The 15,967-nt window shown below is 47.5% G+C and overlaps 1 protein-coding gene and 1 long non-coding RNA gene across 7 annotated transcripts in view, besides 2 other annotated features; one reads left to right on the forward strand and one right to left on the reverse strand.

Annotated features, from left to right (window-relative positions):
• Positions 1–15,967, forward strand: part of STK32B (serine/threonine kinase 32B) — a 481,604-nt gene that overhangs the window by 18,829 nt on the left and 446,808 nt on the right. For 3 of the 5 annotated variants that reach the window (NM_001306082.2, NM_018401.3, NM_001345969.2), the window contains exon 1: positions 13,266–13,701. The exons of the other annotated variants lie outside the window; for them this stretch is intronic. Coding sequence is in view for 2 of the 3 variants with exons in the window: in NM_018401.3 (NP_060871.1) it covers positions 13,650–13,701 (52 nt within the window). In the remaining variant the exon portion in view is untranslated. Of the gene's footprint in view, positions 1–13,265; positions 13,702–15,967 lie in introns of those variants that run through there. 5 annotated transcript variants of the gene reach the window in all.
• LOC107986256 (uncharacterized) lies at positions 1,408–5,493 on the reverse strand. Of its 2 annotated transcripts, none has more exons than XR_007058005.1 (3): positions 5,374–5,493; positions 4,307–4,410; positions 1,408–1,849 (listed from the first exon to the last, which is right to left on the reverse strand). It is a non-coding gene; the product is annotated as an uncharacterized LOC107986256 (long non-coding RNA). The 2 variants fall into 2 exon arrangements; XR_001741565.2 differs by having other exon boundaries at positions 1,695–1,935.
• Positions 4,798–5,298: an enhancer, noted in NCBI's record as "H3K27ac-H3K4me1 hESC enhancer chr4:5044739-5045239 (GRCh37/hg19 assembly coordinates)". NCBI's record gives its function as "activates a minimal SCP1, AML or CMV promoter by ChIP-STARR-seq in primed H9 embryonic stem cells {active_cell/tissue: H9 hESC(primed)}" and the evidence as "EXISTENCE:reporter gene assay evidence [ECO:0000049][PMID:30033119]".
• Positions 13,968–14,506: an enhancer, noted in NCBI's record as "H3K4me1 hESC enhancer chr4:5053909-5054447 (GRCh37/hg19 assembly coordinates)". NCBI's record gives its function as "activates a minimal SCP1, AML or CMV promoter by ChIP-STARR-seq in naive H9 embryonic stem cells {active_cell/tissue: H9 hESC(naive)}" and the evidence as "EXISTENCE:reporter gene assay evidence [ECO:0000049][PMID:30033119]".

Here is a 15,967-nt window from a genome sequence, read left to right on the forward strand (position 1 = left end):
TTGCTGAACATTTGTTAGGTACCTATATCGTTCTGGAGGCAAGGAAGGATGACGATGACAATGATGACCTTGGCCTCAACGAGTCTGCATTTGTTTAGATATGGATTAAGCTGATGAACCAAAGGAATCCCCAAATTCAAAACATAGTCATGCATTGCTTAATGACGGGGATACATTCTGAGAAACGTGTGTTGGGCAATTTCAGCATTGTGCAAACATTGCTGCACAAATCATAGAGAATACTTACACAGCCCTAGGTGGTGAAGCCTACTATATGCCTAGGCTGCATGGTCTAGCCTACTGCTACTAGGCTACAAACCTGTGCAGCATGCTACTGTACTGAACACCATAGGCAACTGTAACACAATGCATTTGTTAACACAAAGTATTCGTGTATCTAAATCTATCTAAATACAGAAAAGGGACTATAAAAATAAGGTATAAAATAAACAATAATAAACTTGGATAGGGTACTTACAATGAATGGAGCTTGCAGGACTGGAGAGTTGCTCTGGATGAGTGAGTAGCTGGTGAGTGAATGGGAAGGCCTAGGACATGACTGTATTATACTTTAGATTTCAGAAACTCTGTACACTTTGGCTACACTCAATTTATAAAAACATATTTTATTTCTTTAATAATAAATTAGCCTTAACTTACTATAACTTTTTTTACTTTATGAACTTTTTAATATTTTTAAACTTTTTGACTCTTTTGTAATAACATAGCATAAAACACAAACATACTGTACAGCTATACAAAATTTCTTTCTTTTTTTTTTTTTTTTTTTGAGATGGGATCTTACTCTTTTGCCCAGGTTGGAGTGCAGTGGCATGATCATAGCCCACAGCAGTCTCCAACTCCTGGGCTCAAGTAATCTTCCCACTTCAGCCTTCTGAATAGCTGGGATGGCAGGCATATGCCATCATGCCCAGATATATATATATTTTTTGTATTTTTGGTAGAGATGGGGTCTTGCTATGTCGCTCAGGCTGGTCTTAAACTCCCAGACTCAAGTGATCCTTCTGTGTACCTCAGCCTTCCAAAGTGTTGGGATTACAGGCACGAGGCACCACACTTGGCCACTTTCTGTCTTTATAACCTGAATCTATAAGCGTTTTTCTACTTAAAAATTTCTTTAGAACTTTGTGTTAAAAACTAAGACACAAATACGCACATTAGCCTAGGTCTCACAGGGTCGGGATCATCAATTTCTGCTTCCACATCTTGCTCACTGGACAGTCTTAGGGGCAGTGACATGCATGGAGCTGTCATCTCCTAGGATAACAATGCCTTCTTCTAGAATCCCTCCTGGGGGACCTGCCTGAGGCTGCTTCATAACTAACTTTTTTCTGCATAAATAGGAGGCACACATTTTAAAATAATGATAAAAGTATAGTAAGTACATAAACTTTTAACATAGTCATTTATTATCATTATCAGGTGTTATGTACTGTATGTAATTCTATGTGCTAAATTCTATGATTGACAGTGCAAGGAGGTGTGTTTACACCAGTACCACTGCAAACACGTGAGGAATGCATTGTGCTACGAAGTCATGATGGCTGCCATGTCACCAGGAAATAGGAATGTTGAGCTCTGTGATAATCTTATTGTACATGTGGTCCATTGCTGCCCAAAATGTCATGATGCTGCACACGACTGTTAAGTGGTATCACCAAGACAGTGTCTATCCTCTCTTAACAGTCCAGAGGCAGTAGGCGGTCCAGGTCAGGTAGGCCATTCTGCTACATGAGGACGTCCCACACCACGGCTACTTCCTTGTGGTTGCTCTGCTACTCCCTGGAGTGCCGTCCTCCCCAGCAGGTCTTCAGGTGGTCATCACAGCCTGCAGGAGTGGTAGGAGATGCGGTCGGTGCATGTGTCATTTCTCACATCCTGTTGGCTGGAACTTAATTCCATGGCCACTCCCACCTGCAAAGGCAATTGGAACACCTAGTCCCTAGCCCAGTGGCCATGTGCTCAGCTAACACTGGAGGTGTATGTTCTATTTGTAAAAAGAAAGAAGGGGTAAGTGGATACCATGAACAAGTAGGTGTCTCTGCCACACTGCCCAACTCCTTCATTTTTTTCAGTTTACAGATGGGGAAAATGAGGCCTATAGAAGGGAAGTGACTTCTCTCAGTGCACATGATGAGGCAGTGGCAGTAGAATTTTTTTTTTTTTTTTTTTTTTTTGAGACGAAGTCTCGCTGTGTCGCCAGGCTGGAGAGCAGTGGCACGATCTTGGCTCACTGCAACCTCCGCCTCCTGGGTTCAAGCAATTCTCCTACCTCAGCTTCCCGAGTAGCTGGGATTACAGATGAGTGCCACCATGCCCAGCTAATTTTTGTATTTTTAGTAGAGACAGGGTTTCACCATGTTGGCCAAGATGGTCTCAATCGCTTGACCTCGTAATCTGCCCTCCTTGGCCTCTGAAAGTGCTGGGATTACAGGTGCCACTGCGCCCGGCCAAGCAGTAGAACTTTTAAGGCCTGTCTCCTGCCCTGTAGGCCACACACTGGCTACCTCAATATAGTCAGATGTTGCTTCACCATGGGACATGGTCTGAGATATGCGTTGTCACCACATGCCAAGATGGTACAGTTGACTACATGCCCAGGCTATGTGGTGTAGCCAATAGCTCCTAGGCTACAAACCTGTGCAGCATGAATACCCTAGGCAACTGTAACACATTGGCAAGTATTTGTGTATGCATACACAGAAAAGGTGCAGAAAAATACAGTAGTCTCATCTCATGGGGCCACTGTTGGGTGTGCGGCCCATCCTTGATGGAGACATCGTTATGTGTCATGTGACTGTGTCTAGTGCCTTTTAGTAAGTCATTGTTATCACTTCTGCTACGTATGGTTCCTGCTTTCTGAAAGAGGAGTCTCTTCTCGTTGATAGAAACGATTCTTTACATCACTGCTTCTGAGTCCTTTTCTTCAGGGAAATGGGTGGGTTCATGGAGCCTTTTAAAGAGCTGTGACAGATTTTGACTCTCTTCCTATAAAAATAACCAAATATGTGCAAGCAGACAACACACGCACACACACACAAGTTCAAGTACAGTTTCAGAGTGTTCATGACGACTCCCTTAAGCCCCTAAGAATCCCTATAAACCCAGGCAAGAATACAATGAAATACATTGCACAGATGTTGCGTTTGGCAGCTACGGAGCCTTCCTTCTGACCCAGCCTGGTTCACAGTACAGCTAGAATTCTCCACAGACACTTAATTTGAGGTCACCATGGAGCTACTATGCAAATTATTTTAATGTAAGAACAAGAAGCTCAGAATTGCTGGGCTACCAAGTTCCCAACTATGAAAATGCCTCTAGGGAAGTTTTATAATGCCAAGAAATGCAGACACTCTACATTAGTAGCAATTTATGGACCCCTATTTTGAGTGAGCACTCAACGCACACACACGCACACATAAAGACTCTTAACAATAAAAGACTGCTCTTGAAGTTATTATTTTTAAGTCATTATGGATAATTCGCTATCTGAGTGAGATGACTTTCAACAACAGAACTGGATGTGCAAACTATTTCTTATCTTGGTGTGCCACAAAACAGCCTTTATCTTTTTTTTTTTCTTTACAATGCACAATGCTGCCAAACAGAACATATTGAAATTGAGTGCAAGCAGACGGTATTTACTCTAAGCAAACCAGACTCAAGTTTTAAATAAAATAGGCTTAACATAAACGATAACAAAATCTGATATAGCAGACTCTACAAAATGGCTTGGCACAGAAGACGCCCTGCTCCAGGGAATCACATTAGCTTCTACAGCGTGATCGTGTTACATAAAATTAAATGTTACGGCTTTAGGGTTTATGGCTCCAAATGCAAGTATGGTGATTACTTGATTGTGTTCTCAGCAAGAGGAATAGCAGCCACAAGACTCTACTCATGTACATGTAAGTCAGAAAAAGAATCCCAGTTCATATTTCTGTGCCTACATTTGGGATTTGAGAAGTAACAAGAGTCATGTGCTCAACCCCTTGTTAGAGCCACAGGAGAAGTTCTAAACCATAATTTCCATGATCTCTCCATAGTCTACGTTCTGGGAAAGCCAAGCAGACTCAGCACATATAAGTAGTTGGTTTATATTTTATTGTTTTGCACATAATTAGAAGAACTTTATAAAACTTCATCCATCTGTGAGCCAGGCAAGAGGGCAAGACCTGGAGCTGACTTCATCTGGAGCACAGCTGACCCCCAAGTTCCGCCATTCTCTCTTGAGGAGACTGGATGACACTTAACATAGTGTAGGAAGTAGAAGGAATGTACTTACTTCAAAATAATTCTTCCAGACCGTGTCAGTGTTAGGTGACCAATTCCTTCAGCCATGAAGAGCCATGGCTCGCATTTCTCGGGGCTTGCACCCTCAGCTGTCTGCTAAGGAGACCAAAGGGGAGCGAGGTAGAGTTTCACTTGTCATCCTTTGCATACCTGGAGGCTTCCTGATTGAAAATGAACCTTGCAGGGGAATGGGAGGAAGTCCAGTTTAGGGTGGCCAGGTTAAATGCATGATCCCGTCCCTGACAAAAAGCAATAGAGTAGCCAATAGCTCCTAGGCTACAAACCTGTGCAGCAGGGGCCGGGCGCGGTGGCTCACGCCTGTAATCCCAGCACTTTGGGAGGCCGAGGCGGGTGGATCATGAGGTCAGGAGATCGAGACCATCCTGGCTAACAAGGTGAAACCCCGTCTCTACTAAAAATACAAAAAATTAGCCGGGCGCGGTGGCGGGCGCCTGTAGTCCCAGCTACTCGGGAGGCTGAGGCAGGAGAATGGCGTGAACCCGGGAAGCGGAGCTTGCAGTGAGCCGAGATTGCGCCACTGCAGTCCGCAGTCCGGCCTGGGCGACAGAGCGAGACTCCGTCTCAAAAAAAAAAAAAAAAAAAAAAAACCTGTGCAGCATGAATACCCTAGGCAGTACCTGAGTCTTCACTCAGATACCAGGAGGAGAAAGGAGCTCTTTTCTGTTTTCTTTTAGTAGCAGGCTTTCGATTCCAAATGTTCATTGAGTCTCCCTTGTCTCAATCCTTTCCAATAATACCTGGAAAATTTCTTTCTGTGGATATTAGAGCTCTACTTGCAAGAGTTAAGAACTGGACTCTCTATTTGGAATGACAATGCATACATTTACTTAGTTTTCAAGCATATTTATTATGTATTATTCTGAACTGTGCATATAGTTTTGCTTATATCTCTCATAAATCTAGCTATATGTCTCATAGTCCTTGCAACAAATAATTCCTTTATATAGGACTGGACACCCAGAACACCTGTAAAGCTCCTGCTCTGCTTCCATGATATCTTAGCAGCCTGCTCTCTTAGGAGGTGGTGCATATACTTACTCCAGGCCAGGAGGGCCGTTTTGCTACATGAGGTTGTCCCAGACCATGGCTACTTCCATCTGGTTCCTCTGCTACTCCTCGGAGTGCTGTCCTCTCCAGCAGGGCTTCAGGTGGGCATCACAGCCTACAGGGGCGGAAGGAGAAGCAGTCGGTGCACACGGCATTTCTCACATCCTGTTGGCTGGAACTTAGTCCCATGGCCACTCCCACCTGCAAAGGCAGTTGGAACATGTAGTCCCTATCCCAGTAGGGCTACCTGTCTTCTCGGGCTCCCAGCCCAGTGTCTGACACATAACACAAGCTCAGGGCATGTTGGCTGAAGGAAGAAATGAGAGTAAGGAAGCCTTTCCCAGGCAGCAGTCCAGCCATTGCCTCCACATAGGTTTTTATCAGGTCCGTTTCTTGAGTTGTCTTCATGGCCAATAACAAACACGCACTGATGGTTTACAATTTACCAGGTGCTGGTAATCCTTCTAGGCATTTAATTCTCACAGCTATTCTCGGAGGCAGGTATTCCTTCGCCAAAGGCAGTTGATCCAGCTCTCTCTCAATCCCTGCCTCTGCGAGGGCTCTTCCTTCCCATCCCTTTCTGTCTAAGCTGGCTGCCTTCTCCATCTCCCTGGCCTCTTCCTGTTGGAGTCCTAGGGTTGATCCTTGCATCTCCAAGAAAACCTTCTCCAATCTCAGGGCCTTAAACATCATCAATATGCTCAGGACTCCCAAATTGTAATTCCTATTGTCAACTTCTCTCCTAAACCTCAGACACATCTGCCCAGGGACTGCTACACACCCACCACAGACCCTTTAAATTTAACATGTCCCAGAGGGGACTCCCAATCTCCTCCTTCCCTCCCTTTGCCCTGCCACACCAAAACACAGGGATCCAGCCCCACCCTCAGCCTCCCCTGTCTTCATCCTTCCAGTTGTTCAAGCCAAAAGATTTGAGCTATCTTTGACTCATCTTTTTCCTTCCTCCTTCAACCAACCACCAGGAAATCCGTTTAGGTTTTCCTCTATTCAAAATATGTTCAGGACTGTTTGGGCATGCCGGCTCATGCCTGTCATTTCGGCACTTTGGGAGGCCCAAAGCTGGAGGATTGCTTGAGTCCAGGAGTTTGAGAGCAGCCTGGGAAACACAGTGAGACCCCTGTCTCTACAAACTTAAAATAAAAAGTCAGCCAGGTGTGGTGGTACACACCTGTGGTACCAGCTACTCAGGAAGCTGAGGTGAGAGGATCTCTTGATCCTGGGAGGCTGAGGCTGCAGTGAGCCATGATTGTGCCACTGCACTCCAGCCTCAGTGACAGAGTGAGATCCTGTCTCAAAACAAACACAACCAAAAAACCAAAAGCCCAAAATATGTCCAGGACTAGCCACTTCTCCCTACCACCCCAACCCCCAATGTGCTGATGCCACCAGCATCTCTTGCCTAGCAGTAGTCTCAAAGCCAGTGTTCCCCTTCATACCTTTGCCTTGCCTCAGTCTACTCTCAGCAGAGTTGGAGGGGCCCTTTAAAAAGATGTCTGTCATACTTCCCTGTTCAGAGCCCTCCAGTGTGTGCCCATTTAATTCAGAAGAAAGCCCCGAGTCTTTGAGCCACCTGCCAGGCTCTGCCTGAGCGGGCTCTGTACCTCTCATCTCTTTCATCTGCTCCATCTTCTGCTTCACACATTCTAGCCTCTGTGGCCCCCTGCAGTTCCCAGAGGAAGTCATGTGCCCTCCTGCCTTGGGGTTTTGGCACTGGCTGCTTCCTCTGTCTGCAATACTTTCATTCCTGACATCTGTGCAGCCAACTTCCTCACTGCCTTTTAGAGTTCCTTCTGGTGTCAGCTCAGTGAAGCTTCCCTGACCACTCTGCTTAAAAGTCCAGAGGCGGTTTGATAGAAATAGTATTGAATCTATAGATTACTTTGGGCAGTATGGCCATTTTTATGATATTGATTCTTCCTATCCATGATGATGGAAGGTTTTTCCATTTGTTTGTATCCTCTCTTATTTCCTTGAGCAGTGGTTTGTAGTTCTTCTTGAAGAGATCCTTCATATCCCTTGTTAACTGTATTCCTAGGTACTCTTTGTAGCGATTGTGAATGGGAGTTAATTCATGATTTCGCTCTCTGTGTGCCTATTGTTGGTGTAAAGGAATGCTTACGAATTTTGCACATTGATTTTGTATCCCGAGACTTTGCTGAAGTTGCTTATCAGCTTAAGGAGTTTTGGGGCTGAGATGATGGGGTTTTCTAAATATAGAATCATGTCATCTGCAAGCAGAGACAATTTGACTTCCTCTCTTCCTATTTGAATACCCCTTATGTCTTTCTCTTGCCTGATTGCCCTGGCCAGAACTTCCAACACTATGTTGAATAGGAGTCGAGAACTGTTTTCATCAAACTACCATTAACATTCTTCACAGAATTAGAAAAAACTACTTTAAATATCATATGACATCAAAGAAGACCCTGTATGGCCAAGACAGTCATAAGCAAAAAGAATAAAGCTGGAGACATCATACTACCTGACTTCAAACTATACTACAAGGCTACAGTAACCAAAACAGCATGGTAGTGGTACCAAAACAGACATATAGATATCAGTGGAACAGAAGAAAGACCACAGAAATAACACCACACATCTACAACCACCTAATTTTCGACAAACGTGACAAAAACAAGCAGTGGGGAAAGGATCTCCTATTCAATAAATGGTGCTGGGAAAAGTGGCTAGCTATATGCAGAAAATTGCAACTGGACTCCTTCCATATACCTTATACAAAAATTAACTCAAGATGGATTAAAGACTTAAATGCAAAATCCAAAACTATAAAAACCCTAGAAGAAAACATAGGCTATACCATTCAGGACATAAGCATGGGCAAAGATTTCACGGCTAAAACAACAAAAGCAATTGCAACAAAAGCCAAAATTGACAAATGGGATCTATTTAAATTAGCATCAGAGTGAACAGTCAACCTACAGAATAGGAGAACATTTTTGCAATCTACCCATCTGATAAAAGTCTAATATCCAGAATTTATAAGGAACTTAAATAAATTTACAAGAATAAAACAAACAACCACATAAAAACTGGGCAAAGGATATGAACCGACACTTCTCAAAAGAAGACATTTATGCAGCCATCAAACACATGAAAAAAAACTCAACATCAATGCTCGTTAGAGAAATGCAAATCAAAACCACAATGAGATACCATCTCACACCAGTCAGAAGGGTGATTATTAAAAAGTCAAGAAACAATAGATGCTGGTGAGGCTGTGGAGAAACAGGAGCACTTTTACCCTGTTGGTGAGAATGTAAATTAGTTCAACCATTGTGGAAGACAGTATGGTGATTTCTCAACGATCTAGAGTGAGAAATACCATTTGACCCAGCAGTCAAATTATTGGGTATATACCCAAAGGAATATAAATCATTCTACTATAAGGACACATGCACACATATGTTTACTGCAGCACTGTTTACAATAGCAAAATTGTGGAACCAACCCAAATGCCCAACAATGATAAATGGGATAAAGAAAATGTGGTACATATACACCACGGAATGCTATGCAGCCATAAAAAGGAATGAGATCATGTCCTTTGCAGGGACATGGATGAAGCTGGAAGTCATCATTCTCAGCAAACTAACACAGAAACAGAAAACTAAACACCACATGTTCTCACTCATAAGTGGGAGCTGAACAATGAGAACACATGGACACAGGAAGAAGAACAACATACACCAGGGCCTGTTGGGGGGTGGGGGATGAGGGGAGGGAACCTAGAGGAGGGGTCAATAGGTGCAGCAAACCACCACGGCACATGTCTACTTATGTAACAAACCGACACATTCTGCACATGTATCCCGGAACTTAAAGTAAAATAAAAATAAAAATAAAATAAAAGTCCAGAGGTCTGATTGATGGTTAATAGAGAGGGGCATCTCACAATGTTTCTGACAAAATCTCCATTTCAACACATCTGAAACCATCATTCACTCATTCCATCAACGTATATTTGTAAAGTATCAACTCTGTACCAGTGCTGAGCAAGACCCTGGGGACACACAGCCCTGGCTGCCCTGCAGGGCTCCTGGATGACAGGAAAGCCGGGTAGAAATCAGGGAGCAGTGGCAGGTGGTGAGTCAACGCATGACCTGGAGACAGGAGCTTTGCCACTAGGTAGATGTGGGGGTTGAACAGTGGCCCCCAGTAAAATATGTTGAAGTCCTAACCCCTGGAACTGTATGTGTGATCTTATCTGGGAAAACAGTCTTTGCAAATGGTTAAAGATCTTGAGAAGAGATCATGCTGGGATTATCAGGGTGGGCCCTCAATCCAGTAAGTGTCTTTTCAAGAGACAGAGAAGAAATGACACAGGGAGAGAGGAGGTGGCCATGTGAAGATGGTGGTAGAGACCAGAGTTCTCCAGCCTCCACCCAAGGAATGTTTGGAGCCACCAGATGCTGGAAGAAGCATGGAGACTCTGGAGATTGATTTTGACTTCTGGCCTCCAGAATGGTGAGGGAATAATTTTCTGTTTTTTTTTTTTACTTGTTTGTTTTTTGAGACAAAGTCTCACTCTGTTGCCAGGCTGGAGTGCAGTGACGCAATCTTGGCTCACCGCAACCTCCACCTCCCAGGTTCAAGACATTCTCCTGCCTCAGCCTCCTGAGTAGCTGGGATTACAGGCACATACCACCATGCCTGGCTAATTTTTTTTTTTTTTTTTTTTTGAGATGGAGTCTCACTGTTGTTGCCCAGGCTGGAGTGCGATGGCGCGATCTTGGCTCACTGCAACTCTCTGCAGGTTTCAGCAATTCTCCTGCCTCAGCCTCCCGAGTAGCTGAGGTCACAGGTGCCTGCCACCACGCTTGGCTAATATTTGTATTTTTAGTAGAGATGGGGTTTCACCGTGTTGGCTAAGCTGGTCTCGAACTCCTGAGCTTAGGTAATCCACCCACCTTGGCCTCCCAAAGTTCTGGGATTACAGGTGTGAGCCACCGTGCCTGGCCTAATTTTTGTATTTTTAGTAGAGACAGGGTTTCACCATGTTGGCCAGTCTCGAACTCCTGACCTCAAGTGATCCTCCCACCTAGGCCTCCCAAAGTGCTGGGATTATAGGCGTGAAACGCCACACCTGGCCAATTTCTGCATTGAAATCTTAGGTCTTTGCACTTCTCAACCATTTGAGTTGGCTTAGCCTATTTGTGCCCCAGTCTCCTCCAGAGTGGGGATGGTGACACACCTACCTCTCAGGGTTGCTGTGAGGATGAGAAAATCCATGCAGAGCGCTTGAAGTACCAGAGTCAGGCACATTCTCTATGGATGGGGAGCAGAGAAGTGAAGGGGTTGCCGGAGGTCCTAGCACCCTGCAAAGAGTTAGCACAGAGCTGGACATGCAGAGTTCTCAATACACATGCACGCTGTCACTGAACACTGCACTGCAAGACTAATTCCAGCCGTGTGGAACATCTCCCAGCATCTGCAAAGTGTCCCACTCTCTAGGCCTGGAGAACTTTGCACCAGTAGCCTCCTTTCTTCTTCCAACCCGGTTGATTCCTTGCCCTTCCAGTCTCAGCGCCAGCACCCTCTCTGGCCAATGCCTTCTTTTCTTTTGTTTTTTTTTTTTTGAGACGGAGTCTCACTCTGTCACCCAGGTTGGAGTGCAGTGGCACAATCTCAGCTCACTGCAACCTCCGCCTCCCAGGTTCAAGGGATTCTCCCACCTCAGCCTCCCGAGTAGCCGGGATTACAGGTGGGTGACATTTCTGTCATGCGTGTCCGTGTGAAGAGACCACCAAACAGGCTTTGTGTGAGCAATAAAGCTTTTTAATCACCTCAGTGCAGGCGGGCTGAGTCCGAAAAGAGAGTCAGCGAAGAGAGATATGGGTGGGGCAGTTTTATAGGATTTGGGTAGGTTATGGAAAATTAAAGTCAAAGGGGTTCTCTGGGAGGCAGGGGCGAGGGTCACAAGGTGCTCAGTCGGGAGCTTCTGAGCCAGGAGAAGGAATTTCACAAGGTAATGTCATCAGTTAAGGCAGGAACAGGCCATTTTCACTTCTTTTGTGATTCTTCAGTTGCTTCAGGCCATCTGGATGTATATGTGCAGGTCACAGGGGTTATGATGGCTTAGCTTGGGCTCAGAGGCCTGGCAATCACACCCAGCTAAGTTTTGTTTTTTTAGTACAGATGGGGTTTCTCCATATTGGCCAGGCTAGTCTCAAACTCTTGACTTCAGGTGATCCACCCGCCTCAGCCTCCCAAAGTGCTGGGATTACAGGTGTGAGCCCCCACGCCCGGCCTAGCACAATATCAATATATTCCTCATAACAATGTTAGAAAGGGAAAGTTCTCTTATTAGCACCTTCTGGACTCAGATGAAGAAACTGAGTCCAGAACAGGTTAAGTAATTTATCCAAGTTAACTGGCTAATGAGGGGCAAAGCAGAATGAAACCTGGGTAGAATGAGCCCAGAGCCCATGCCTGTCCACATTCCGCCCTATGCTTCTTGAGCTAGGGGCCAGCTCTGTGTTCAGGGCATTGCCTGCTGCACACTGGCTACTCAGTGTATGCTTGTTGGTGGAATGAAAGGCAAGAAATATTTATTCATCATTTATTATATGCCGGGCACTGTTGCCTGCTTTTATAAATATTACCTGATATAATTCTCACAGACAACCCAAGGAGTTAATATCAATCAGCCCACTTTGCAGATAAGAACTCCAAAGTGGGACACATTGCCAGTAAATGGTAGAGCCAGCTCTGGGTCATGGTGGGTGGGCCTGCCTCAGACCTTCTCAGTTCTTTCCCACTGCCTTTAAGAGATTTTTTGTTTTGTTTTGTTTTGTTTTGTTTCTGTATGAGTCTCCCCGGCTTCCCTCACCCTTCTCCCAAGAAAAAGAAAGAAGGGGAGAGAACTGGAGAGAGAGACCAGGTAGGGGACGGGGACTGGGGGACGAGATAGGATGGAGAGAGTCACAAAGAACCCCTGCTTTCTATCAAAGCACGGACAGTGGTTCCAGGCGCCCAGCAGATGGCAGGATGTAGCCAAAGATTCCCTGCAGTCCCGGAGAGCTGGGCCCGCAGGACTGCAAGGCAGGGGGACCTGCCTGTCCCTCAGGGAGCGTCCTGGGAACCCGCGCTCGCCCCACACGTCTTGGGGCGCATCTGCCGCACCCCTTACTTAGGCACCCGCAACTGTGGCGCGTATCTCCCGATCCAGGCTCCCGCCGCAGGAGCCCAGGGACCCTCATGCTAGCCTCGCCCCTAAATCGGACGCCGATGCCGCCCAATTTTGGGGGAATCCCGAGACTCATGCCCAGCCATTCCCAGGGAGAATGGTTTGGGGCAAACTATGGCTGTCTGGGGCCTCAGTTTCCCCATGTACAATGAAGGGGTCAGATTAGTATCTAATCTTAAGGGGTCAGAAAGTAAACAGATACTTTCATTCATTAAACACTGAGAAAAACCTTAAGAGGAACAGCGTCGGTTGGAGAGCCAGCAGACACTCCACTGCCCATCCCAATATGAATGGGCAAATACAGGCTAGCGGGGAGTCCTGGGACTCCCTTCGCAGCCGGGGCCGACTAACCACAGACCTAAGAGCCCCTCTACCTCTAGACCTCCGTCTACTGCGCTCTAAAATATGAACGATGCTTTCTTACTGCTGGGTTGTCGGAGGCGGATGTGGGATGGTGCTAACAAAGCGCGTAGCCGAGGCCTGGCCATAGTGGGTGCTGACAAACCGCTTACTGCCTGCAGGGACCGAGCTCCCGGCCGAGGGAGGAGGGCCGAGCAGGGATTCAGATTCTTCCGGGCCGATCCCTTTCTCAGCTCCTTCCGCCCTGCCGCCGCCCACTGCGTGCTGCCTTCGTCCGTCCCCTCCTCCCCCGCTCCTTCCCCTCCTTCCCCTGCTCCCGCGCCGCCTCGCGTCTCCCGCCCGCTGTAGCCGGCGAGGAGCGCCGCACGTTGGCCCCGGCGCGAGGAGCTCCCGGGTTCCCGGGCGGGCACTGGAGTAAGGAGCTGCGAGCGCAGCCCGAGGCGGGGCACGGCGGAAGGCGCGGCGAGAGCGGGGTCCCTGCGAGCGCAGTCGGAAGGGCGTCCAGGAGAAGGGGGACGCCGTCCCCGCCCCTGCACGGTGCTCGGCCCCCTCGGGCTCCGCGCGCGGCTACAACCCGGACTGGGCGCGCCCCCGGCATCCCGCATCTCTGCGCGCGTCCCACATCCCGCATCCGGCATCCCAGCGGCCGGGCATGTAGCAGCGGCAGCAACGGCGGAATATGGGCGGGAACCACTCCCACAAGCCCCCCGTGTTTGACGAGAATGAGGAAGGTAAGAGAGCGAGAGGTGCGAATTCCCGCTTCGCGGGGCATCCCCTTCCTCCACCACCCTCGGCCGAGCCCTGCGGGGCACCGCATGCTGCCCGGCGCGGGGACCCAGGCATGGCCACTTCGCCCAGCGAATGCAGTGTGTGCCCGACCCGTGCCAGGCGCGGCGCTTCTGCTGAGGCAACTCCTAGGTACCCAGTGCCGTTTAGTAGTCGGGACGGTGCCTAGCGCGGGACTGGGGAGGCGGCTTCAGAGAGTTGAACCCGAAACCTGCACTTGGGGGTGTGGAAGGGAGGAGTTGACTTCGGAGGCCAGTCGGGATGGTTCTAGGCTCGGGCTCCCCAGGAAACCGAGGTTTCCTTGAGAGCCTGAGGCTGACGGAGGTGGCCTGGAAGGGCGGGTTGCACCGTGTGTCTGTGTGTGTGTGCGCGTGCCCACGACGCATTTGGTCTCGTGCAAGGGCCTGTTGGATGCAGCTCTCCTCAATCACCCAGGACAGAGGGAAACTTTTCTTTGCTAAACTCTGTGGTTCCTAGGAGGGCGTCCTGTTCTGGGCAGCCTCCCCCTGGCGCAGAAGTGGTGTAGGCTGTCCAACCGCATCTCAACTTCCTGGCTGGATCCTTGCGGTTCAGGTCGATAGAGCTCCCTATTTGGACTAGCAGAACCCTCTTTCCAGTGCAGCGTGTCCCTGGAAAACTTACTTCACCTCTCTGAAACATTAGTCCCTTCATCAATGAAATGTGAGTTATGATACCACTAGCTACTTTATAGGGTTGTTTGAAGCTTAACCACTAGTAATCCACGTGAAAAGTGCCTTATAAATGCAAGCAGTACCGAGCTGTGCCGTTTTTTATGTTAAGAGCCCTCTGCCTCTCAAAGCTGGTTTCCTACTGTGCTGACTCGCCAGTCTCCACTGTGCCCCAGGTAAGAGCTGAGACATACTGAGCACTTACTATGTTCCAGCCATGCTAGCACATAGTGTTCACTCCATCCTTTTCATGCCCCTTGAGGTGGCTACCTTAGAAAGGGGTCTGTCCTGGTTACTGCTGGTAAGAAGTAGAGCTGGGCTTGAGGCAGGACAGTCTGCTTTGAAAGCTGTGCCTGTCATCATTACCCAGGGCACTGGCTGTGTGCGTACATCATGGATGGCTTCTAGAACTCCCAAGGCTGTGAGTGCTACTCAGATGCCTGCCTGGACAGCCCTTCTCAAAAAGATAGATGAACACAGTCAAGGTTAAGTGAGCACCTGCTGTGTCAGGCCCACGAGAGCCTTCCTTAAAGGAGTTCCTAGTCTAATGGCCCTGAATGACCGTCCATGGTGATAAGGGCATTGAGAAACCAGTGCAGGGTCTTGGGGGCACAGAGAGGCCCCAGCTTTTCCTGATCTTTAGTCTGGAGCATGTGCAGGTGAGCAGGTAAGGAGCCAGTTGTGGACAGAGGAGAGGTGGGCACAGAGGTAATGGAGGCTCTTGCATGTCCCAGTAAGAGTTTGAACACTATGCAGCATCACCCTCAATTGCACGGGCTTGTGGTTCTAGCCTGGGTCAAAGGTCATGCTTTTGCTAATTTTCCTAGCATCTTTCTCTTTTATTTACAGAGGAAATTTGCCACCCTTATATTGAAAACCGTCTCTGTCATTTATCCCCAGCTTGAAAATATTCATTGGCAAAATAGTTATCTCTGGTGTAGCCAACCTTTTGATTTTCCTGTTCCTGTTCCTTATTCTATAAGCAGATTGGGCCTAAGGTTAACTGCCTGTTTCGGTGCTTGTTAAAATACAAGGTTATGAGGCCGGGCGCGGTGGCTCATGCCTGTAATCCCAGTACTTTGGGAGGCCGAGGTGGACGGATCACCTGAGGTCAGGAGAGGCCTGCCTGGCCAACATGATGAAACCCCGACTCTACTAAAAATACAAAAATTAGCCGGGCATGTTGGCGGGAACCTGTAATCCCAGCTACTCAGGAGGCTGAGGCAGGAGAATCGCTTGAACCCGGGAGGCGGAGGTTGCAGTGAGCTGAGATCGCACCATTGCATTCGAGCCTGGGCACCAAGAGTGAAGCTCCATCTCAAAATAAATAAATAAATAAATAAATATAAATAAATATAAGGTTAGGGCTCTCCTCATTTTGCCATTGCCCAGCCCAGTGAAACATTAACTTGTTTGATTTTGCCAGTATGTCTCTCACACGTTTCCTAGTACAGGTAAAACAGTGTTACTTGCCACCAACCGACTCATTTATTTCGTAGGCATTTACTATTTGTATTTTCTG

The sequence above is a fragment of the Homo sapiens genome, chromosome 4 (genome assembly GCF_000001405.40).
Source record: "Homo sapiens chromosome 4, GRCh38.p14 Primary Assembly".
NCBI lineage: Eukaryota > Metazoa > Chordata > Mammalia > Primates > Hominidae > Homo > Homo sapiens.